Source organism: Homo sapiens, chromosome 4 (genome assembly GCF_000001405.40).
Source record: "Homo sapiens chromosome 4, GRCh38.p14 Primary Assembly".
In the NCBI taxonomy this organism is placed as follows: Eukaryota; Metazoa; Chordata; class Mammalia; order Primates; family Hominidae; genus Homo; species Homo sapiens.
In genome coordinates this window covers 174,660,717-174,687,140 of record NC_000004.12, presented here as the reverse complement: position 1 = coordinate 174,687,140, position 26,424 = coordinate 174,660,717, and the positions used below count along the sequence as shown (strand labels likewise).

General features: G+C 36.6%; 1 protein-coding gene across 9 annotated transcripts in view; it reads left to right on the top strand.

Moving 5' to 3' along the window:
• GLRA3 (glycine receptor alpha 3) overlaps nt 1-26,424 on the top strand; it is a 192,328-nt gene that overhangs the window by 142,107 nt on the left and 23,797 nt on the right. For 8 of the 9 annotated variants that reach the window (XR_001741329.2, XM_047416196.1, XM_047416195.1 and 5 more), the window contains 2 exons: nt 4,202-4,339; nt 9,849-10,063. Coding sequence is in view for 8 of the 9 variants with exons in the window: in XM_047416196.1 (XP_047272152.1) it covers nt 4,202-4,339; nt 9,849-10,063 (353 nt within the window). In the remaining variant the exon portion in view is untranslated. Of the gene's footprint in view, nt 1-4,201; nt 4,340-9,848; nt 10,064-24,557; nt 24,638-26,424 lie in introns of those variants that run through there. The other variant, XM_011532267.3, reaches the window with a different exon arrangement.

Genomic DNA, 26,424 nt, shown 5'->3' with positions numbered 1-26,424 from the left:
GCCAGCCCCTTTATTTGTGTTAAAGCACTAGAAGTTTTACCCACCATTGTTTTTTCAACATCAGGGCAAATGTTGACTCAATGAAAAAGGCAAATGTCTTATTATGGTTATGAAAGCAGTTTTGACCTTGTGAATTCCATGAAAGGATCCTGGTAGAGTAATGCTACTCAAGCACAAATTTTGTGGTTCACCCCTTGCTCAAAAGATTCCAATGATCAAAATTTTAAACTGGAAATTTGAACTTTACATCATCTTACATTATTTGACACTTTATATGCTTCTTCATGCAAACTGGCTCTAGACAAATGAAGCTGTTCCCATTGCTATTATAAACCTTGGGAGTTCGCAGTTTCTTTCAAATGATTTTGCTGCTTCTTGAGCCTGAAGTGCCTCACCTTCTTTTGCATACTTTATATGAAGCCCCTGCCTTGTTTTCAAGATCCAGCTCAAATGAGGCCTAGGTAGATATCACAGAACCCCGCGCTAAATGCACACAGCAGTTTCTGCCTGTCTCGTGCCACTTACTCTTTACTCGGCAATAATATCTCACATTGCCTGAAGCCTAGCAGGACATCTTCCTTACAGTTGGTACTCAATAAGTAACTATTTGGTAAAACAAGCGTTTGGTTGCCCTGAGCCATTGGTTTACATGTTTTATTGTAGCTACCATATGAGATTGTTGACTGAAGTTAGGGTTAATGTCTGTTCCCTGAATAAATTAGTTTTCATTGGGAAGCTTATTGTGGTATCAGGTAATTCAGCTCACAAGCTTGATCTCATTAACCAGTCTGTTCTCTTTAGCATTCTCAGACTTGTATAAAGATCTGCCAACCAAAAGCATAAGGATCTTAAAACATTTTGAATTGTGTAAAAAAGTATTGATTTTTTAAAATTATGTTTGAGAGTTTATTAAGACAATATTACCACTTAGTTGTTATCATTAACAACCAGTAAGTTACTCAAATAAAGGAATTGCCCCCAACCATGGCCTCTTACTATTTTCCTTCTGGTTTCAAACTTAAGTATTTTTTGAACCATAGTGAAGTAGAATAGTATGACTATGAAATACACATACCTAAACTAATGTGGATGACTGTTTTAAACAAAAGCAAGATACATATACTGTCTATAAATTGTATTAGCCACTAAATAAAGCTTGTCTTTGAAGGAATTTCATAAAGCTAGTTTCATTTCACAGAATATCTTGAGAAAAATTTAGAATATAAAAATGAATTGAAGTTTCAGGTCATTTTTCCATTCATCTGTCTAAATTGGGACACAATCTCATATATTTTGTCTTCAGTGATTATAGGTGTGGAAGAATGAGAAACATGTCTTATCTGGCAGAAGGTAGAATTGGTGCCTATTTTGCTATCCTTAAATCATTGAGAAATGTGCATCTACTTTCTCGGTAAAATGGTATTTATAATGGACATATTAAAGGATTTATGAATGAAAGTGAAAGCTTTCTATTATTACCAATCAAATCATTATTAATTGCAGGGGTCAATGAAATGTATTCTAGTATAAGCAGGTATTAAGTCCCTGCTGTGTTAAATCCATCAGCCTAGGGGACAGTCCTTCAGGTTCCCACATCTGTTCTGGAGTCAAAATTCAGATGTAGATGCGTGCTTCCTTCAATCTCAATGACTTTCACAAACTCTACCGAATAGCACTTGCTCCATAATGAGCCGTCACACTGATGATACTTCTGCTGAAAACTTCAGAAGCAGAATCCCATACAGTCTAAAGAGATCTGGTTACTGATGCTCTTGCTACTACCATCTCCACTGCCTGTAGAGTGGACGGTGTGAGATATACCTAGGGGTCAAGTGTGGTAGGGCATCTGGCTCCAGTCACTACCACCACAGCTGGAGCAGATTTCACTGTGTCTGGGAGAGTTTTTCCCAGGTATTGGGGAGGGTGGAAGGTGATCAGTTCCTTTCCCTACTCAATGTTCTATTCAGCTTAACCAGCTCCATGCCAGTTGTTTCCAGTCACTCACATAGCCTCTTCTCTACAATACAAGCTTGTTTCCAGGAGAATTTGTTTGGGACCATTTCCCTTCTGTGCTGCCTCACAGACCTGGAGCTTCTGTTTTTGTTTTTTTTGCTTTGTTTTGTTTTGTTTTTTGAGACAGGGTCTTACTCTGTTGCCCAGGCTGGAGTGCAATGGTCGATCTCAGCTCACTACAACCTCCGCCTCCCAGGTTCAAATGATTCTCCTGCCTCAGCCTCCCAAGTAGCTGGGATTAGAGGTGCCCACCACCACGCCCGGCTAATTTTTGTGTTTTTTAGTAGAAACGGGCTTTCACCATGTTGGCCAGGCTGGTCTCAAACTCCTGACTTCAGCTGATCGGCCCGCCTCGGCCTTCCAAAGTGCTGGTATTACAGATGTGAGACACTGCGCCCAAGCGCTTTTAACATACCGACCATTTGACTTGGTTCAGAGGCCACACCGTGCCTCCTCTCTCTACCTCCATGGTAATTGTGCATCAAGAAACTCATTGATCAAAGTAACAACAATTCTGCCTCACAGGTCTCATTCACTTTTGACTCATTTTGTGCAGTAGTCTTTAAACATACATTTCAATAGCTTCTCACTCAGAGGGAAGGAGAAGATAAAAATCTGCAGTTCTTAGATACCTCCCATATAGAAATATGAAATTTTAGTTTACTAAAGGCTGCTGACCTATTACAAAATCCATTAATCAATTCTATCCTGAATTCCCTGATATTATGTGCAAAGGTTTCCACTTCCACAAACTGTCCCATGTTTAATGATTAAATCAAGGAGGCATTATGTGGTAGTACTTTTCCCCCACAAATGTTATAGTTTAAGTCATTTTCTTTTTCTTTTTTTTTTAACCCCAAGTTGTTATTTATTTTCATGAGGGGGAAAAAGAGAATCCTTTATGGTAGTGAAAATATACTTTTTTTTAAAATACAATAGCTGCCAGCAATATACTGGTGTAGATGTTCCAAAGAGAAAAGAAAATACATGAGTTCTATAATAAGCTTTCATTTGCCTGTTCAAGAAATTCTAAAGAAAATACTCCAATTCTATTCAACATTATGGCTTAAGGAGTTGAAATTTTTCCATGATAAAAATATAATGTGTCTGGCCCAAACCTTGACTATTTATAAAGGATGGAAATTTTAAAAGCCCATATATATCAATAATGAATGCTACCCTCTCTTTGAATTAAGTACTTAATTCAAATTAATCTAAGAAATTGGTGAATCATTAAATGATGAAATGTGTATCAAAATCTTCACGAAAAAATCAATTTCTATTTCCTCTCCATTTTTGCTTTGTAGATATTTTCTAAATGGGTTTAAGTGCACAGAAATAAATGCTATCTACATGCAACTCTGGAGAGATTCAAAACACAGCAGAAGTAAAATTAACATGCCTAAATCCTTGAGCAATCTGTATATAATTAAGAGATTTCTGACATTTATTCTTACACTAAGTTTAAGTCATTTTTCTGTCTGGGCGCGGTGGCTGACGCCTGTAATCCCAGCACTTTGGGAGGCCAAGGCAGGCAGATCATGAGGTCAGGAGTTTGAGACCAGCCTGGCCAATATGGTAAAACCCCGTCTCTACTAAAAATACAAAAATTAGCAGGGCATGGTGGCATGTGCCTGTAGTCCCAGCTACTCGGGAGGCTGAGGCACAAGAATCACTTGAACCCAGGAGGCTGAGGTTGCGGTGAGCTGAGATCACACCACTGCACTCCAGCCTGGGTGACAGAGTGAGACTCCGTCTCAAAAAAAAAAAAAGTCATTTTCTAACGAGTGACAATTTCAGTTTTTATTGAGAAAGTCCTGAATAATTTGAAAGAAAGTAAGGAGAAACCAGATGGAATGAAATCAAAATGAAAATTACAAAATTAATCTAGTAGCTACCCATCCCAAGGAAAGAATGTATATGCATGCCCCTTCAAGTTTTGACATGCCATGGTATACTTTTAATGAGTCCATTTTGTTTTCTCATATTATTTGGTGGGAGTTCCACGTGAATAGACTTCAACAGACATTTATGAAACGGAATTGGGCAATGAATAGCTCCATCCACAGAGTTACTATAAGATGACACTGTTTGGTCTTCTCATCCTATGTGACTATAAAGTAATTTGCATTTCTTTTCTTTGAATGCCCTTTTTAGACTATTCATATTTTTATTATGTTTTGCCTAGTTGGGTACACAATGAATGATCTCATTTTTGAATGGCAAGATGAGGCACCCGTACAAGTGGCAGAAGGACTCACTTTGCCCCAGTTTCTGTTGAAAGAAGAAAAAGATTTACGATACTGCACTAAACATTACAATACAGGTAGGGGTTGAGTAGTGTTCTTTACACTTACTACTTGTGGTTTTATGATATCCAGATGTTTCTTCATTATAATGCTAAGTTATTTAACTGTTCATAGATCAATGTTTTTCTTATATAGCAGAAAATGGATGCATTTGAAACCTATGAATACTTTGATTCATTGCATATTGTTAAATAATTGGTCTGTATGAGACGAAAGTAATGCTTGGTGTTCAATTATCTTTAAATAATTTTTAATGAAAAGCTCATAATTACATAGTAATAATGTTTCCAAAACTATTCCTTTAATTTCTGTGAACAATAAAATGTGTTTTTAACCATTCTTGGGCAGTAAACACTGTATCTGTTAAGAACATTTTTTTTTAAATTGCATTTTTTAAAAAAGAAAAAAGCTTTGTTGCCTAATTTTTCCCTTTGTCATATTTTCGTGCATTTCAGTGTATTTTTACCTAAGCATCTACTATTCACACTAAGACACTTGAGATAAATATCAGATATAGTTCTCAACACTAAGAATTGAGAGACTCAATGTGATATTTGTACATCGGCAAATTCTGTTCAGTTGCTTTAACTAACATGGGCTATTTCCATAAGACGTATTCTAACTATACAGTTAGAATGTATACATACAGTTAGAAAGTAATGGAATTCTCTGAATGCCATTAAACAGCCCATGATTGAGGCATCACTCCATTGTGGTGAGTACATGACCTCCCACTAGCATCAGCTTCTGTTCTTATCATTTCATTACAGTAACTATGATTCATCGTGGACTCAGCATTTTCCAGAACTGTGCTGTGACCTTTCACTATTCAAAGTCCCTAGTCTCTCTTATCTCCTTAGCAAATTCACAATATCGGATCAAAAAGTCACTACCATTTTCCTTTTAACTCAGAGATGAAGCTGATATCTAACTTATTAGGGAGTTCAAGTTTAACATCTCAACACAAAGATAAAGAGCAGGCAAGTCAATAGCACTGTCCTTGCTCAGTTCCCTTAGACAGATGCTAAAAATCCCCTAGAGTTGGCTTAGGGAGGTATATTAGTTTTCTAGGGCTGCCATAATAACCTATCACAAACGGTGTCTTAAAACAACAGAAATGTGTTCTCTCGCAGTTCTGGAGGGTAGGAGTCCAAAATTCAAGGTGTCAGCAGGGCCGTGCTTTCCCTCAAAGCTTTAGGGAAGAGTTGTTCCCTGTCTCTTCCTGACTACCTATTTCTGGAAAACCTTGTTTCTCAGCTTGCAGATGCATCATTTCAGTCTCTGCCTCCAGAGTCACATGGGATTCCCCTGTGTGTCTGTGTTTCCATGTCCAAATTTCCCTCTTTCTATAAGGACATAAGTAATGTTGGATTTGGGACCCCCTCTTATCCAGGACAATTTCATTTTAACTTGATTGTATCTGCAAATACTTTATTTTCAAGTCAGTTCACATTCACACATTCTGGGTGGACATGAATCTTAGGGAGATATCATTTAATCCAGAACAAGAGGTGAAGTTATAAACATCAATTAGGGATGAATTTTTATGATAGAGGGTCTCAAGACACTTCCTTAGTGTAAAGTAAGTTTGCATACTTCCTTGAGTTATCAAATGAGCTATTACAGCTTAAAGGAAAAGAACTTACATTTATGAATGCCTACTATAAGCAAGGAATGGGACATCTTGGGTGGTATCGTAGAGATCTTACAACTTTACATTCTAGAAGCACTGTACTGTCCAGAAGCAAAATAACGTGCCCAAATTATGTAGAGAATAAAAGCATCTCATAGAGTCCTCATTCAAGTATGTGGTTAATTTGCTTCAGATCCCAGACTCCATTTCATATTTGCTTTTACATTACACAAGAATCTTTTGTTTTCCAATAATAGGCCTAGATACCACATATACCTTTTATGTTGCTTGTGAAAATACAACAAACAACAATAGTAGGTTACCTAAGAACCACATTTATAAAATACCCTTTCCCCCCAGAAAATGAAATATACTTAAGTTAAAAATGTTTTCATACACAAATTAATTGCACAAAATTAGAGGATTTATTCAGTTTTATTTTCACTATCCTGAAGTATTTATTAGTTATGTGCTACAGCATCCTATGATCTGTCTCCTTCTAATAATTTCTCCAAAATCTTTTACCTCTCTTCCCCTTGCTCCGTAATACCCTGCCACAATGACTTGCTTGCTTATATACACCAAACTCATCTCTGTCTGTCTCAGGGCCTTTGCTCTTGCTCTTCCTTCTGCATGTAAAGTTCTTCCTGAAATTGTTCCAAGCCTAATACTCCCACTTTCTTCAGGGTTATTCAAATGCCAACTCTTGAAACATCCATATGTAACAATATGTGTTAAACGCCCAAATTCTGCTTTCACCATCTGAAATTATATCATTCAATTTTATGTTTACTTATTTTTTGCATGTTTCTTTCATTGCCCTAAGTTTGTATTATATTTATTCTGTTGATCACTGTATTTCTGGGGTCTGCTGCCATGCATAAGTGATGGATTTTTTTGTCCAACTTGTTCTTTTATCTCATCAGATCCACATATACTGAGTATATTTATTTATGTACAAGCAATGGTGTATATTTGTGTTCATGTGTGTATCCCTTTATTTTCTTTCCCAGCAATATTATAAAAACATTTTTTAATTTTTATAGATACATAATAGCTGTACATGTTTTTGGAGGTACATGTGATATTTTGATACAAACATAAAATCTGTAATGATCAAATCTGGGTAATTGGGACATCTATCACCTCATAGATTTATCAATTCTTTGTGTTGGGAACATTCCAAATCTTTTCTTCTTTCTACTTTGAAATGTACGATAAAGTATTGTTAACTGTAATTGTCCCCATTATGCTATTGAACACTAGAATTTATTCATTCTAAGTGTATTTTTAAACCCACTCACCAACCTCTTCACCTGCCTTCTTCTCAGCCTCTCGAAACCACTATTTGCTTTACTACAACCATGAAGTCAATTATTTTAGCTCCCACATGTGAATAATAATATGTGATATTGTCTTTCTATGCCTGGCTTATTTCATCTAGTTCTATCCATGTTGCTACAAATGATAGAATTGCATTCTTTTTTGTTTGAATAATATTCCATTGTGTATATACACTACATTTTCTTTATCCATTCTTCCACTGAGGGACACTTGGGTTGGTTCCTTATCTTAGCTATTGTGAATAGGGCTTCAACAAACATGTATCTCTTCAATACACTGATTTTCTTTCTTTTGGATATATACCCCGTAGTCCATATGGTACCTTTATTTTTACTTTTTAAAGGAACTCCTATACTCTTTTCTCCGGTAGCTGGACTAATCTATATTCCCACCAATGGTGTACAAGTGTTCCCCTTTCTCTGCTTCCTCATCAGCATTTGTTATTTTCTGCCTTTTTGATAATAGTTATTTCATTGGGGTGAGATAATATCTTATTTTGCTTTGTTTTGTTTTGTTTTTTTGAGTTGGAGTCTCGCTCTGTCACCCAGGCTGGAATGTAGTGGCAAGATCTCCGCTTACTGCAAGCAGGTTCACACCATTCTCCTGCCTCAGCCCCCTGAGTAGCTGGGACTACAGGCGCCCACCACCACGACTGGCTAATTTTTTGTATTTTTAGTAGAGACGGGGTTGCACCGGGTTAGCCAGGTTGGTCTCCATCTCCTGACCTCATGATTCTCCCGCCTCGGCCTCCCAAAGTGCTGGGATTGCACTTATTGTGGTTTTGATTTGCATTTTTCTGATGATTAGTGATTTTGAACTTTGAAAAACACTCTTTTTAAATAAAAACACAGTGGAGCTTATTTTTTTCCTTGAGAATCACCTGAAATTTAGAGAATTTATACAAAGTATCTGAATGGTTAGTATTTGTTACTAATTATGCTATGGGATTACTTAGTGAGTTATTTAACTGATATTATAAATATGTTTCAGTTATTCTTGTTTTATTCCATTTCATTATTTCTCATAGCAAAATTTAAATCTTTATATTTAATAGCACTTTAAAATCTAAAGTATTTTCATATATTTCAGGAATCTTTAGGCATTTTGTATATATTTGATAAATCAATAAAAGGATCATGTATGGTTTGCACATATGTTTCTGATTGCTATTCACTTAAGAGTGGAATCCACGTTTTCTGGACTTTATGAACTTTTGTTGAGACTTAAGCTCTGGAAACACATGCATGGGTTCATCCAGATATAGTGCCTGTGCATCACCTGTGCAATCACGCACGGCCCAAGTCACATGAATAGAAGCTTTGCACTGAGCCCTACCTAGCAATAGGACAGCAATTGCTCTTTAACATCTTTCTTTCATCATAAGTAACAGAATGTTACTTAAAGAGCAGAATGTTAACTTTCTGACCTCATCCTTCTTGAAATAACTCAAATAAAAACAATTAAACCAAGAACTGGGTGATTTAGAAGAACAATTTTTATAAAGGAGAGATAACATAGAGTAGTATAAATCAATATCAATAGAGTAGGGAGTAGAACCAGGACACAAGCAAAAAATATCGACTTAATGTTTATTAAACCATCATTTACTCCTCTATGTATTGCTTACCAAAATAGAGGTAAATAATAGAGACATAAAAGCATAAGTGTATAGTACAAATGGATCCCTTTGTTTTTAGTGTGTTTTTAAGTTATTTTCAAATTTATTAATGGGAAATAACACATATTTTCCTATTTGTTTGCTTTATTATTCAAGGAATAATTCGTGTTCAATTGTGTTTATCCTCTAGCACTTACTTTAAAGAAAATGGAAAGGCTTCTGCAACAAATAGCACCTGGCTCTAAAGAAGCACTCAAAACACCAGAAACAGTCTATGAGTAAAGAAGATCTTTATATAATAAGTATATATTTCTCCTGTCTGCCTCAGAAGCAATTGTCGTAATCAAGTGAAATAATAAATCTTTGGATATCTTGACAAGTGTAAAGCACTTTTCAAGTCGGAAGTAATAAAGTTTCCTACTATTTCCTAAAAGAGTACGCTCTCTTTACTACATTGCTTCTTGATGCTAACAGTGAAAAATATTTTTTCAAGAATCAATACGAGACTCTTTTCATTGTCATGGAAAGTTTTATAACAGAATCCTTATCAAAATGAAATTGTGAGGCCGGGAGCAGTGGCTCCCACCTGTAATCCCAACACTTTGGGAGGCTGAGGTGGGCAGATTACCTGAGGTCAGGAATTCGACACCAGCCTGGCCAACATGGTGAAACCACATCTCTACAAAAAAAAAAAAAATTAGCCGGGCTTGGTGGTGCATGCCTGTAATCCCAGCTACTTGGGAGGCTGAGGCAGGAGAAACTCTTGAATCCAGGAGGCGCAGGCTACAGTGAGCTGAGATCATGCCACTTCACTCCAGCCTGGGGGACAGAGTGAGACCCTGTCTCAAAAAAAAAAGAGAAATTGTGATATTTGATGCCGTAACAAAGACCTATTTGTACTAATTGCTGTATTTACCTTACCACCAATTAGGAAAGTTTACGTGTATAGAAGTGCGATTCCATCTGGAGCGACAAATGGGATACTATCTGATCCAGATGTACATTCCCAGTCTCCTGATTGTTATTCTATCCTGGGTTTCATTCTGGATCAACATGGATGCAGCACCGGCCAGGGTAGCTCTGGGGATAACCACTGTGCTAACGATGACTACACAGAGTTCAGGATCACGAGCTTCCTTGCCAAAAGTAAGTGCACTGAATGAGCATGCACATCTTTGCACACACACTTATAAATCTTGCAAAGATATCATTGTCAGCTTTGGTCAGATATTTTTCAATGGCATTTCAATGGCATTACTGGTTTTTAAAGTAATATATAACCAAAGCAGAAAACATGTAAAACAGAAATAAATGAAAAAAATTCTGCAAACCAGTGATATCCGCTATTCACATTTTGTGTTATTATTCCCAATTATTTAAATATCAATAATACTCTTATACACTATGGAATTATTTGTATCAATAGGTTTTAAAATATTTAGAAATATATTAAACATTTAAGTTGAATCTACATGGTAATTTTAAATGGTGGCATAGTACTCCATTGTATGGATATGCCATAATTTACTTAGTCACTCTTAGGACTGATACTATAATAAATGTTATATATATGAATATATATGTATATGTGTGTGTGCCTGTGTCTATACATATCACACATATCATCTATATTTATAAACACACATATTTTATGGAAACACACATATATATCCATATATAGACACAAACACATACACACACATAGCTTTACACATATTTTGTATTATGTTCTTAGCATATATTCTTATAAACAGAATTGCTGCAGTGATAGCCATATGCATTGATATGTATTGCCAAATTTATTTCCAGAAGAAATATACCAATTATACTACAAGTATTTTATCAGAGTGCCCATAGTGCTGCACCCTGAGCCCAATATGGTATATATTATTTTTGTGTTTTTTTCTCCCTTTTGCTTTTAAGTAACCATAAGTCAATAGGAAGGAGACCTTATCTAATTCCACGATTTTCATCCATGCTGAGCTGCCAGAATTAAAATAAAATTGTTCCCTCTGTGAGGTTTGTAAAAGACCCAATATTGCTTTGCATAAGATATAGTGAAATAAAACTCTTTTCATTTATTTAGCTGCATAGAAATAGAAAATTATTTTCTTCCCCTAAAATGACGTCTAAGAAGAAGTTTCTGTCATCTAAATTAAGTAATTCTGCATAGCTTCCAAGAAGCTTTACTATTACTTTCATTGAAATGAAGTACTTCAATGCAATAAAATCATATTAACTTTTTTTGTGTGCATTTGATGCTATCTTCTTGCTACACCAAGTAAATTATAAATCTATTGTCATGGCTCCCTTAGTCCTTTCTATTAGTTCATTCTATGATTCAATTTATTAGATTGAAATGCCCATATAAATAAAAATTGAAAATAGGAATTTTATCATTAAAATATGATATTAACATGCTCTGCCTCACTAAAAGTTAATGGTTGTCTTTCCTAATAATGTCTACTTTTATTAACAATTAATTGTATTTTCAAAATTGTTCGCATCAACTAGTGTTTTCTAAAATATTTTTCATGTGAAAATTATAAATCTGTTTATAAATGTAAACTAATAATACTCAATGCTTATTTACGTAAGGATAAACGTTGCAAGAGCTCTGGGTAATAGTGGAAATTTCATAGTTAATTTGTAAAGGAAATCGTCAGTTTACTCACTGATCTTCATGAGCTAAACAGAAATGAAAGCTCATTTGTCTGTATGCTGTCAGTCAGAAAAAGGAGAATCTATGGCTTCTACAAGGCACAACAGAAAGACGTTTAGATACAGAGAGTAAGGTAGAATTGGGGGAGCATGGAAATGTGAGTAGAGGATGCAGAAATAAAGCAAGCAATAAATTAAAAACACAGAATGGAGGCACAACTTAAAAAAAAGAAGAATGTCTAGGACTGCTTTGTATTTTTTTCTCAAGAAATAGGAGACATTTTTAAAAGGCTTTAATTTCCACAAGAACTTACAGAAGAAATAAATTTTCAGCCATGAGTTCAGCTATACACATACATGTGTACAAAGTCTATCTCTCTGATCATAGAGACAATGACATCTAAAAATGTGATGACAGGTGTGACTCTGACCCACAAAAGGAATTGATTGAGAAAGTGATACCTTAAAAGAAGTTGACTGTATCATCTTAGAATTCAAGATAAGTCAGGAATAGGAGGTTTGGCATAATTAATTACTTACATTCAATTTTAGTAGGGCAGACCCCAAGGACCCAGGATAAACAAAAGAATTAATCTATTGGATGAGACCATTCAAAAGAGTAGAAAATCTCTTTAAAAGTACAATTCTGATTCTGCAACTATTTTGGGCCAGAGAGACAGGAGGTGAGGGCTTTATAACTTGCATTTAGAAACAGATGTGTGAGACCGTGCACCTTAAGATCTTCTGTTCTCAATCTCACAAAAGAACCCTCAGAAGTCTGAGAGTCTTGCCACTAAAACACCCAGAATTTACCTACTGACAATTTCTAGGAAGTAGGAAAACAAAGTTACATTCAGGAAAATTGACTATAAAACATAGGACAGTGAAACAATAAATCATAATTTTGTGATCTTTGCCTAGTGTTTGGTCTAGGCTCTGTGTCAATACATCTCCTGTAAGATAAGAAAGAGCTCAGAAATTGCTTAAGTAAGACTCAGAGAATGAAATCTCAAAGAATGTACTTTAGCCAGCTTCTAGAGAACTACAGAGCTGATATTCCTCTCTGATATTTTCTATTGCATCAGCCTCTACAATGTCATGATAACTCAAGCATGTAGTCTCTCAAAGCAAGAACACTCCTGTGATTGATTCCTTGAAACTTGAACTCTTTTACATTTTTGCAGTGTCTGTATCAGGTGGCCATAAGAAGGTGATATATGCATTCTATTCCCAGCAAATTTTCAAGGTTGTGTAACTTTAGGAGCACTTTCTTACACCATGTGCTTGGGGCAGAGTGAGAAAAGATGGTAATGATCATGGGGCCTATCAAGGAAGACTTCATAGGCCTTGGTAATGATTGGGTTTAATTTGGGTGCAGCAATGGGCCACTGATGAATTTTAATAAGGGGAGCAATTACACTGACTTCTGTTTGAAGACCAGATAGAAGAGGCAGAGTGGGAGCAAGGAGTCTACCAAGCAAGCTATTGTAGTCCACAGCAGATGATGATCTGGCAAGATTGGTAGCAACAGAGCTAGAGAGTAGCAGATGGCTTTAGAAAGAAGTAAATGTTTCTGAAAAAATATATTTGGAAGTAAAACAGACAGGATTTGCTTATGAATTGAACATGGAAAATTCAGGGAAATGCAGGAGTCAAGGGTAGCATTCAAGTAAGTAACTAGGCAAGTAGAGATGATAGTTACTAATAGGGAAGGTTAGGGGAAAGGTTAATTGTGGGTTCTTTTCTAAAACATGTTAACTTGGAGACATTTACAAGACAATCACATGGAATTGTCAAAAACTAAGAACTTCCAAAGTTCTGACCAAAGACATCCAGCCCTCAGACTTTAGGGTGTAAACTACAAATGAATTGGGAAGTGGAATAGAGGTGATTTTTCTAGTGGAAGAAAGCCTGGAAAGACAGGGAAAGAAGATATATTTGTGCTTGGCTCTCTTCCTCCAGCTGAAAATCTTCTCTCTCTGTTCCCCTCCCGGGGCTATCCCTACCCATAAACAGAATATATTAGACAGTTTGGTTAAAGGCAAGACCCACTCACCCCAAAACTTTACTCCCAAACTCTTTGAGATCTCAGCATTCTGTAATCTTTTTTTTAGATATGGAAAATCCTCCTTCTTAGGAGGATTCATTTCATCAGGGTTGAAAGAGGAGATAGTAATAATAATTCAATTATTTTTAGTATAAATTTGATTTCAATATTCAGTTAAGACCTTGGCACTGAAGGAATTAAGTATGGGGATGGGTAAGAATAGAGAAAATCAGTAGAAGAGACAAAATATAATTTTAATTTGTAAACTCTGAGTACTAGAAGGAATCCACATTAGGGAACTCTGGAGAAATCTTGAAATATACAGCAATATTATATACACCTTACCCTTTATTTTATGATTTCAACAATCAATTAATTCCTATTAGAGACCTACCCTCATCATTTTTTTTCATCCTGTTTCATAGAGACTGGCTAAGGACCAGGTCTGTTGTGTGTTTTATGTTTCATATCATCTGCAGAAGTACACAAGTGTCACTATGCATACCTTATTTTAGTCTTTTAAACTTATTATCATATCAGAGACTTTTGAACATAGCATATCAAACAGATGCACACACACACATGCACACACACTATACACAACGCACACATTCACATACACAGATAGAAACTTGGCAGGGTGGGGGAATCTCTAGATTCAAGTTTATCCAAACCCTAGCTCTTAACACAATATATTAATATTATGAGATTCTTGGCACTTGGGGCTGATAATCCAGTTACATCGCAATTATCCTGCATAACAACTTCTGAATCTCAATGGTTTACAACATTTCTTCTTGCTCACAGGACTGTGAGGTGCCTGTATCTCTTCTGCGCTTGCCCTGAGATTGGCTGTTCGAGTGGGCTTGGATCTAGGCTGTGGAGTGGGTTTCAGATCTGCTCCCTCTGTGTCCTCATTCTGGGGCTGCAGGGACCTGTAACATGGTCTTTCCATGGAGGAGTGCTGGAGATCAAGAAGGCAAGCAGAAACATGCAAGGCTTGTGCTCAGAATTGGCACACAGTCACTTCTGTTCTCATTCCACAAATTATACAAGTCTCATGGCCAAACCGAAAGTCAATAGGGTGGAAGAGTGCACTCCACCCACAGGGAAGACTTGGAGAGGAAGAAAGAAAAAGGGAATTGTAAATAATCTTATCTACCTTGGGAAAATTATTTGTTTAAGTTTTCGGTCTCCTTTCTTAGACCACGCTCTGGCTTGTCAGTAAATGTTCAGAAAAACAAGAGGGGTGGAAGGGATAGGAAAGAAATAGGGAAGTATCCTAGGGAGATTCTATGTGGACTTCTCTGCTCCCATCACTATGGCCATCTCATTGAAAACAGCTACTAAACATTAAAAAATAATGAGTCCTTGAAATTTCAAATATGGCTTTTTGATAAAATATTTTACAGAAGCTCAGAAGCTGGTAGCCTGTGGAGATTGCAAATTCTGCACCAAAAACTGTTTATGGTCAATGATTACTTAGAACCTTTTACCTTTCTCAATTCCACTCATTTTTTCCCTTTCAATTTCTCTGTGAAACTGTCCTCATTTTCAGAGATAGCGTCTGGGCACGGTGGCTCACATCTGTAATCCCAGCACTTTGGGAGGCAGAAGCGGGTGGATCACTTGAGGCTAGGAGTTTCAGAACAGCCTAGCCAACATGGCAAAACCCCGTCTCTACTAAAAAATACAAAAATTAGCTGGGCGTGGTGGCGGGCATCTGTAATCCCAGCTACTCTAGAGGCTGAGGCACCAGAATCACTTAAACCCGGGAGGCAGAGGTTGCAGTGAGCTGAGATTGCACCACTGCACTCCAGCCTGGGTGACAGAATGAGACTCTGTCTCAAAAAAATAATAAAAAATAAGAAAAATAATGAGGATAGCTTTTATATTATATTAAGTTTTCATTCTTCATAACACCAATTTTAAAAATGATTATAACTATTAGAAAATATAAATTGAACTGATACATTTTTTGAACACCACAATTGTGTTGGCACACAGATATCTATGTGTGGTTGATTACAATAAAAGGATAGGAAATGGGAAGAAAAATGAAGGATTTATATTCACTGTTGTGTTCATAGCTAATTAGCAAATACGCAGTCTTATTCTTCTAAAAAAAAACCCTTAAATTTTAAAGGAGAGTACATTGTGTTAGTGATAATGTAATGGGGTCAGGAGAGCTACATAGTAATCAGGTTTTCCTATTAATATAGCAATTAATAGTTATTATTGTCAGTAATATTTTGGTCCAAACCATTTAAACATAACATTTTAATATTTACTGAAAATGTAGTTAACTAATGTTACTTCAATCAAGTTCAGTACAAACATGATCCAAGTGAGTTCATTTTAAGTTTATTACTGTGACAGAATGTGTAATAAATTTAACTTTATGATACAGTGTTTGATATAAGCAACATATTCAACTAAATTTTTTAAATGTTCATGGATCATACTAGCTAATATGATTCCATATACATTAATTTAGAAAAAAGGGGAAAAAGAAAAAAGGCCCAGAAAATGAAATAATTATTTATTCATACCCTTATCACAAGATATAATGTATATGAATACCATCCAATTTTATTACTGATAAAAAAAATTATCTGTTTTGTAAATAAAAAAGTCCTAAAAATGGGTGGATTCTATGATAAGAAGGATAGAAATTGATGGATATCTCTAGTTCTACATTTCATCTTAGGACCTCCTTTACTAGACTTACTAGATTTCATCAAGGACCTACTTAGGACCTACTTTACTAGAAATATTAGATTCCATCAAGCTGAAAAATTAATGATTATCAAGCATTTTCTCTGTACTTGAGATAGAGACAGGGCTGCTACATAAATTCTTAAATCTGATAGAACTAGGGAAAGTATATGGCCGAATCATAAACTTTAAAACTGTTTTAAAATGGCATGATACCACAGCTTTGACATCAAACTAAGTTTAAAAACAAAGATATGTTTGCAATTTGGAGACTACGTAAACAATGTCATCCACCACGTTCATATATATCCTAGAATCGTACCCTGAGTCCCCAAAAGATAAAAGTGAATGTAAAACTACCACTTCGCCAGTGAAAGAAAGCACTTTGCCCCAAAATCAGAGTAAAACAAACACCTTTACAGGCTTTATCTGTCTCCATGATTCCTATTTGAAGTTTTAAATGAAGCTCTTGAACTCCAGAGGAAAAGGGAATAGGAACTTATATGATTACAATAAAAATGATGCTATAGAAGCACAAAACCTTCACTACAAAAATGAAGAAAAGAGAGGTCACAATTATAATTTAGCCTGAGTAGATCAAAAAAAGGTAATATATTAAGAAATGCCAGGAAGTCTAACGGCATGCACCTAAGAAGCATTTTCAGTGACATCTAGATTTGACAATTTCATATCAGTGTTAAATATAAGAAAAAGAGCTACATCCTACAGAAAAAATGATGGTAAAACTCCAGTTACTGAAGTGGGAGTCAGAGATAACTGTGTCTTTTCAAAATTCTTTAGTCTTTTTGGTTGTACTTTCCTTGTCTGGTGACGAAAGTATTGGTTAAATTCACCTCTTTGGAAACAATGAAGTTTTGTTATTATGTGATTCTCTGTTGTATTTTATCTCATGAAGTAAAAACCATTACGTGAGTGGCTCACACCTGTAATCCCAGCACTTTGGGAGGCTGAGGTGGGAGGATCGCTTGAGGCCAGGAGTTCAAGGCTAGCCTGAGCAACATAGTGAGACTCTTGTCTCCACATTTCTTTTTTAATTAGCAAAGTGTGGTAACACACACCCATAGTCCTAGCTGCTTGGGAGGCTGAGGCAGGAGAATTGCTTGAGCCCAGGAACTTGAGGCTGCAGTGAGTTATGATTACACCACTGCACTTCAGCCTGGGTGACAGAGAAAAACCCTTTCACAAAAACAAAACAAAACAAAAATCCCTTATGTGAAAAATAAATATTGTGTTAGAAGCATCATTCATTTACTGAGGGTTATGACTATGATAATCAGCATGAACATTCCACCAGCAAGACTGTTGTGAGTCACCCTCCAGGATAATAAATGTCAGAATGTCGAAACTCACAATATCCTGGGCCGTAAGTTTCATTGCCTAGTTATTCATGCTCCGAGAAAGTAGTCCTTGAGTTACCTCCTTTTGCCTTTTCAGTATCAGCTTCATTCCACTTCAACACCTGTCTTTAAAACATTATTTATTATTTTCTTTTGTCCAGATTCCTTGCTCGCTGGCTTTAGGTCTTAATGAAGTTTGAAATGCTTTTGAGATTAATATTATTTTTTCCTGTTACAAAATGTAAAATTCTTATACAGGTTCTTGCACTAAGGAGAAATGTAGGATTAAGGGTACTACAAATTTGTATTTTAAAAATGAATGATTAAATGAATAGTCAATGAGATCTGAAATTAAAACCTCACAAAACAAGGCATAACACAAGCAGAGACATTTTCGGCATATCTCAGAGAAAAAGCAGTTATCTGTAGGCTTCAATCACTTGCCCATCGCACAGCCAAAAGTACTCATCACAGTTTACTTGACATTTCTGAGGAACTAGGGCAATCCACCAGGATTGAATGTTATTAAAGGAAGAACCAATTACCCTATTCAAAGGGCTATTTTAGCTCATCAAAAGCATACACTGTGATGTTTTATTACACTTTTTTCTCAAATAAAAAGCAAGTTTGGATTGAGAAAAGAATTGACAAACTATCTCTCTTAAGGGATCCCTGGAAATTTACCTTATAGAGTTCCTACACGTAGGTGTAGATGAGATTTTGTGATTCAAACTCCAGGTTCTGGTTTAATCAATTTCTTTTTCTTAAGTTTAAACTATGCTGTTTATAAATACATTTAAATTTCTATTTCTAGAATCCATTGATTAATGGTCATCTGGGTTATAATTTAGCTAGCCACATCAAATATATCTTTGCCCATTAATATATTGTTGTCTATAAGCTGTAACAGGAATTTATTGGTCACAGGAAAATCCTTTTGACCACCTCCATGTGGACTGAAGTAAAGGCATACATCTCGGCAGGTCTCTCAACCATAGCATATACTGCCGTAGTTATAATACAGCTCACTCAATGTACTTGTTAAGGAATATGATCCAAAATTACTGCTATTCAATAATCCTATCAAAAGTTCGTGCAAAAGTAAACGTAGTTATGAAGGATTACCTGAGATATATGCAAACCATCTATTTCTCTGGACTTGTTTTAGTCCATTTTTCACATTGCTATAAAGAACTACCTGAGACTGGGTAATTTATAAAGAAAAGAGGATTAATTGGCTCATGATTCTATGGGCTATCCAGGCTTCTGTTTCTGGGGGGCCTCAGGAAACTTACAATCATAGTGGAAGGTGAAGGGGAAGTAAGCACTTCTTACATGGCTGGAGCAGGAGGAAGAAGATTGAAAGGGAAGGTGCCACACACTTTTAAACAACCAGATCTCACGAGAACTCTGTCACAAGACAGCACTAGAGGGATGGTGCCAAACCATTAGAAACCAACCCCACGATGGAACTACCTCCCACCAAGCCCCACCTCCAACACCAGGTATTACAATTCAACAGGAGTTTTGGGTGGGGGCACAGATCCAAACCATATCAGGATCAAAGAGCACAAAGTCAAATGACTTCAGGGGTCAGTTGCACAAATAAATGAACAAAGTGGTCTGGTATAATTAATGAAGGGAAGAGGGATGAGCAGTATGGTTAACTGATGATGAGCATTCCGTGCTTAGAAGCATATTCTTTTTCTTTTTTAAGATATTGTGCAGTCCAAACAAACTTATTCTCATACATAAATTTGGCTTGCAGACTGCCTGTCTTTACTCTCTGCAACTAGAGAATTGATTATCTGTCTTAGGTTAAGTTAGTGCTTCAAAGCACTACCTGGACTCTACTTTTTTGTACCTCCTTACAATTCATATTACTGAATTTGGACCTGACACTATCGTTTTATGAAATTTTTGGCAGAAAATCAGGGGACATTTCTTATTCTTTGTCATACCCTAATTAATTGACAGCTTCTTTCCATAAAGCAGTGAGTTTTTCTCTTTAACAAAGCTGCCTTTATGTGCTATTCAAGATATCACAGTGATCAGATCATAATCCACAGGTTCCTCAATTCTGTGCTTATGAGGATTCTTGTTTCAGAAGGACAAATAGAAATCGCCCTCCTGACTTTCTCTGGAGTTATCATAATGCTCTGTGCCACGAAGGCCACTTTCCCCTCTAGGCATGTGGTAGGATTACATCTCCTAGTGCTCTTGTGATCAGGGTTGACTGTGAGTAGTTCTGGCTAATGAACTTTGAGCAGAAACAACCTGTGCCACTACCAGTCTGGAACATTTATGACCAAATGTGAGAACCACCAGCGACTTGGTTTTCCTCTGCTGCTGTGTTACAAGTGAGGATAGCAATGACAACACCATTTCAGGGTCAGCATTCGACTCAAAGTAGACATGCAGTATGAGAGCAAAATATACCTTTGTTTCTTCAAGCCAGTGAAATTTTGTGGTTGTTTGCTACTTGCATTGTATCCTAGCTTGAATCCTCCCTATGACAAACCCCTCATGTCACTGGAGGGGTAGATACGGAGAAATCTCATGGTTAGGCAAGCTCCCTGAACATGACTGCTTCTCAGAGCCAAAGTGACTTGATTCTGTGTTTAATAACCAAGATGACTGACAGCAATAAAATCCAATTATATATATATATATATATATAATATATATATATATATATATTCTTATTTGAGATGCAAGAGGCAGGCTTTCTCTATTTCTAATGATAATTTTGCAAAAAAGAAAAACTGCATAATTTCTTGGGGAAAAAAGTGTAAGAAATCTACAGACCATATGGTGCTTATATTCCTTTTCCTAAATTATAAAACTTTTTTTAGAATGAAAAAGACTAGTCCTTGCAATAACCTAGCTTGTGTACTCTATTGATCATTTATCAAGCTGATCTCTTCCTGGATTGTTACATGGCAAGTAAACAATAGCCTCCTGTCTCCTGGCTCATAAACAACTTTAGTATATTTACTACTGCTGGGGGACATACATGGTATTTTGTAGGATAAAATATTTCTCTTATCTTAATAGTTTTGCTTCACCTGGGCAACTAGTTTGTTTTCATCTAGTAAATATAATGACCATTTCTTTTCATACGTTGTCTACTAGGAAGTTGACTGTCAGATTTTAGGATCAAAGCTAGCAAATATGGAGGATCTTACAGTATGTATTTTGTGCACTGACATTACTCTTAAATATCAGATGAAATTTATAGAGCCTGGAATTTTAAGATACAGAGAGGAATTCCAATTTACATTGTTTACAGTTGTTGATTTGCAGTAGTATCTTAAATGGAAGCAGCCTAATAACTAGGTGATATAGAATAGTAGTTAAGTTCATAAGCTCTGGAACCATATGAGTTATATTCAAATCCTAGTTTTGCAACTTGGTAGCCATGTGGCCTTAAGCAAGTTATTTCACTGCAACTGTTTCCTCATCTTTAAAATAAGGATGATTCCCTCTATTGTTGTGGGGATTAAGTGTTACCATATGAACACTACTGTATGAAGAGCATTTCCTGGCATATTAGTTAATATAATTATTTCTCTAATAATAAATGGCCAGTGATTACAAGTCAATACACAGGAGTCAACCCAACTGAGAGCCTTTACCATAAAGAACCTTGTGCTGCATCCTAGAGATACAAAAATGCATAAGGTCTGGCCTTTGTCTTAGCTCATGGAATGTAACAGCCTAAAAGCAGAAGATACATAAGTGGATAATGTCAGTACAGTGAGACGAAATCAATGATACAATGGAGTTATTTGGTATTTGCTATCAATACATATTTTGTTAACATATTAGGATAGACATCTCATCTTCAAATCTTCATGGACATACTAATTTTTGCATCCTTCTAATCAAAGTTTTTGGAAAGTGGAAAGCACTTAAAACTTGCAGGATAGAGTAATTAACTGATGGTGGGGCATTCAAGTGGTGCTAGCCAGCAGACATCTTACAGGATCTACCACAAAAATAAATATAATTATTGTTGTAATGAGTGACCTTTGAAAAAAGTGGAAGTGGGATGCTGAGATGCGTTATTCTGGCCTGGGCATTTGAAGATAGTTTCCCTGAAGAAGTAGCTTACAAGCTGAGACCTACAGGATGAACAGTAGTTACCCAAAGAAGGAGGGTTCCAGTCCAAAGTAATAGCAAAAAAAAAAAAAAAAAAAGTAAATACAAAGCAGCTGAGGCAGAGTGGAGCTTGTCAATTGCTTTCAGGTTTCAAAAACTAAAAGAAGGGAAATATAGCTACTACATAATAAGCAATTAAGAAACTGGCATAAGGTGGTAATTATCCCTTCCACAGGGAGGTCTTCCCTGGCCACTGCCATCTAACATAGCCTCCTTCTCCCAGTCTTTCATATCGTTACCCTCCCAAATTTTCTTTACAACACTTCTTTTAAATTATCTTATGTATGTGTTTGCTTTTATTGTATGTTTTTCTAACTTGAGTATAAGCTCCATTAATAATAGAGCTTGTCTGTCTTTCTCATCTCTATACCTGTAACACCTAACAACAGAACTTGGGTTCATCATCGGCATTCAGTAAATGTTGAATAAAAAACAAAAATGAAAGCTAGTCTTTATGTGAAGGGTTAATATGAATTATTATGAAGGGCTAATTTTGAAGGGCTTTATACCCCATAAAACAGATTTTGAACATTAAATTAACAGAAAGCAAATGAAGAACTGTAAGCCTAAAGCAATGCAATCAGATTTGCATTTAAGATTCACTAACTGTTGTGTCAAGGATATCGCTGAGGGACTAGGACACACTGTGGCTTCAATCAGTGTGATGACAGTATAAGGAAGAACAGAAATTGATAAACTTGAGAAATGGAAAGAAAACATAATTAACAGGGCTGAATCTTTGAAAAGAGAGAGTGAGAAGCCTCCTAGATTTGGGGGTGAACAACTGCAGAGTGGAGTCTCTTAATGAGAAGAGAGGGGAGCTGTGCATATTTGCTGTTGTTGTTTTTTTGTTTGTTTGTTTTGGTGGGGGAGGTGGTAGTCTGGTAGAGATTCTTGACTCCTTTTTAGTCAAATTCAGTTTGAGGCGTGGGAGACAGTCAGAGTGCCGTGAAGGAAGAACCTGGATAAAGGGGGCTTTAGTCAGGAAATAGAGATTTGGGGATCATGAGCACAGAAGAGGAACTGAATCCATAGGGATAGATACGATGGATTAGTGAGTCGTGTCCCAGTGAGAATAGAAAAGGGCCCAGGCCATCTCCCTAAGCAGCTCAGGAAAAGAAAGAGAATCCACAAAGCCGATGGGGTGGAGTGGAGGGAGGGAAACCCAGAAAACACAGGTCACAGAAGCCATGGAAAGAGCACCCCCTGAGAAGGAAGCTTTCTTCTGCAGGATGGCTTGGGAGTGGTTTCTGGGACAAAGGTCCCCTGACCAGTGCACCTCATTAGTAAACCTTTAGATTTTATTTCCATAGACACTGGTATTCACAGAGTTATACCGAGGAGGCATTCTTCCAGAATATAGAACTAGGATTCCAGTGGACAATGGGTCTTTTGGGAAGGTGGTCAAGATTGGAATGATACTGCCCAAAAGGGAGACATACAGGAGGGGGAGCAAAGAAGGTAATGACTCTGAATCCATGGGGAGTGCGCTGTGTGTCATGAGTGTGTTGTGAATGCATTGAAGTAAGAACTGCTGTCTTTATTTTAAAGTTACTAGCCCCAAAGTTCCAAACTTCCCACGTCCTGTGTTTGCTGTACTTGGCGGAGAAGCTAGAATGGAGGAGGAGAAACAGACTTGAAATTGGTGAAGGGGTTCGAAGAGATGATGAGGAAAGTAGGCCTTTAGGCTCAATGCTTTTAAGCTGTTAACAATTAGCAGAACCCTGACAGGCACAAATGATGTTTCCACATATTTGTTGTCACTGAAAACACTCATTGAATTAATTTGGAAATTATATTTCTGATGTAATTTCTGTGGTTCATGTCATTATGGATTCAGGATGCTCAAGAATGCACAAATACTTTATGAGTCATATTCGTTCAGGAATAATGTGGCTTGAGACAGCATCTTTGAAAGCCATATTACTTGTTCCAGGACTGTATATATTTGGAAGCAGCCAGAAATTTCTGGCCGAATTACAGAATTTATGAGATTTAAATCTATACTTGCAAACAGATGGACATTTGATACAGCACTGGAATAAAGTGAGATGCACTGCTCTTTGCCCAGTGGAGATGATTCTGATCAGTAGAAGTCACACTTAAAATGCAGGAGGAGATGCAGTGTGCTTCCCTGTTGAAATACTTCATATGTAAGTTGACACCCTTCCGAGTGTCAAGAAATAAACTCTTTCAAAAAGAAAATCAACCCAATTGAAGGTATTAAGAAAGCATTGCTCCAGAAAGTGAATCTCCATATGTCATCTATGATTCAGTTTCTCCCCCGACGCCTGTAGTTTACCATTTAATGCCTTCATTTATCTGTCCATTCACTCAGCAGATATGTACATGTGACAAACGCTGATGTGATGGTGACCAAAACAGAGATGTCATCTGCCCTCAAAGAGTTCACATTACAAACAGGAAAAAAAAAAAAAGAAAAAAAAAAAAACAAGGAATAACAATTCCAATGCAATGTGTTAGGGTAACACAGCAAGTCAGCACAGGTACCATGAGATTCTGAACCAGATTTGGGCAAAGTCTAGCCTGAGACCTGAAGAACCTGCTGGGAAAGATAGGAAAGAGCTTTTTCCTTACTTTATTTACCACTCCTGCCACCCTAACTTTCCCCCAAATGTTGAGCCACTTATCCTTTAAAACTACTATCTAAATCTGTTCAAAATTCCCACAGGCTAACGTTTCATAAAAATAGCTGCACTAAATATTGAAGATGAAAGAGGAAAGAATACAGAAGATATAAACAGCACAAAGACAGGCAAGTTCTTAAAATGTAGGGTGTTGATCCTTAAGATAATTATGCATTGGGTCCAAAGAAGTAGGGCAAATTAGTTTGAACCCAGCCTGACATTCTGTTCTCCCAGATCCACATCTTCTTGGAAGTAAGGATATTTATTTTTATAGCAAGGAAACAGACTTGTAGCTAATTGTCCATTTCCAATGAAAGATGGAAAAACATCTTACCTTTCATAAATATAAGTATCTCTCATTTTTATTTCTAATACTTGGCAAATGACAGCATTTTACACATCTAATTGGCTATATAAAGTATGAAACAAAATGAATTATCTCATGCTCACTCCACAAAAGGTATGTTTTTGCTGGCATTGCTTGCAAGATATGCTTCCTTAACTCTGGAATATATGCACATGTATACAATAAGAGCGGAAACTAATACTCAAGCAAATTTTCAACCTTGAGCAATGGACATATACACAGATATGAGTTCAGCTACAACCTCAAATCACTGCCCAATTAAACTGAGTATGAAAACAGTTGCTTAAAGGTTACTGAATTACTTTTTCTAAGGGACTTAGGTCTGTATAAGTCTATTTCTAGAAAATACGGACGTAGCTTTTCTTTTTACTCTTCTCTTCCTGTCTCTTCCCTTTGTGTTCATTTTTAAAGTTGTCTGTTTTTTCCATTCTTTTTCTTGTTCTTCCCTTCCCTTTTCTACCTTTGAGGTGACAAGACACAGTGAGACCTGTAGGGCCATAGCTGAGCAGGTGTCAGAATCAAGGAGGCTGGCTGGGTCTGGTGGAACCAGAGTCAAGGATGCTGCCAGATTGCCAGATCCTATGGAGCAGGATAAATAGTTAGTTAGGACCAAGGCCAGTGGGGCCATTGGGGGATGGGACCAGGAGCAAGGAGCCAAATGGGGCCAATGGTGGCCAAATAGAAGCCTCCAGCCATAATCCTCCCAACAGGAAGGCCAAATGCAACAACAATCTGCACACAAAAAGCACCTTCATAAGAACCAAAAATGAGGTGAATGATCACAGTATCTGGTTCTACCATTATATTAAGGTGCTGAGGCTGAAAATATGGTTGGCAGAATTGAGATGTTAGTCACATACACGGTGAATGATCAAGTACATGTTGAGGATAATGGGAGTCAAGTTTTCCACTTTTAGAGAAAAATTTTGCATATATAGAAAGGGTATAGGCTAAAGGGAACCCTGTGGTGTTGAGTTAGATATAGAGATGTAATGTAAGCTCATGTTTGATGGATAGATGGATAGATAGAGATGATACAGAAATTTACACAGGTGCTACATTTTATGTGTGTGTGTGAATATGTGTGTGTGTGTGTGATTGCTAGCTCTGTCCACTATGAGAGCCTAGAAACGATACCACTTAGGGAGATGTGAATACACCCAGTGCCCAGATCTTGGTTTCTAAAAACCACTCTTCACTACAGAAGAGTTCCTGAGAGAAAGGGCTGACTCAAAAACAAGAACAGGAAAAGTACAAGATGAATCTGGAGTATCTTGTGCCAGAAAGTGAGGAAATGCTCAAATAATGAGGGCGACTTGTCAAACGGATATATGTGCTAACATCTAGGGGCTTCTAATGGCCCAATCCAGAATAATGTGAGCATCAAAATAAATAATGATGTTAATGTATTACATCACTTGGAAGAAAACAGTTATCCATAAGTTTATACACATATAAATAAACAAATGAATAAACAGATAAATGTAGAAGACAGGAATTTTTCTTACAGTAGAATGCTAATTGATAAATATAGATGAATAAAG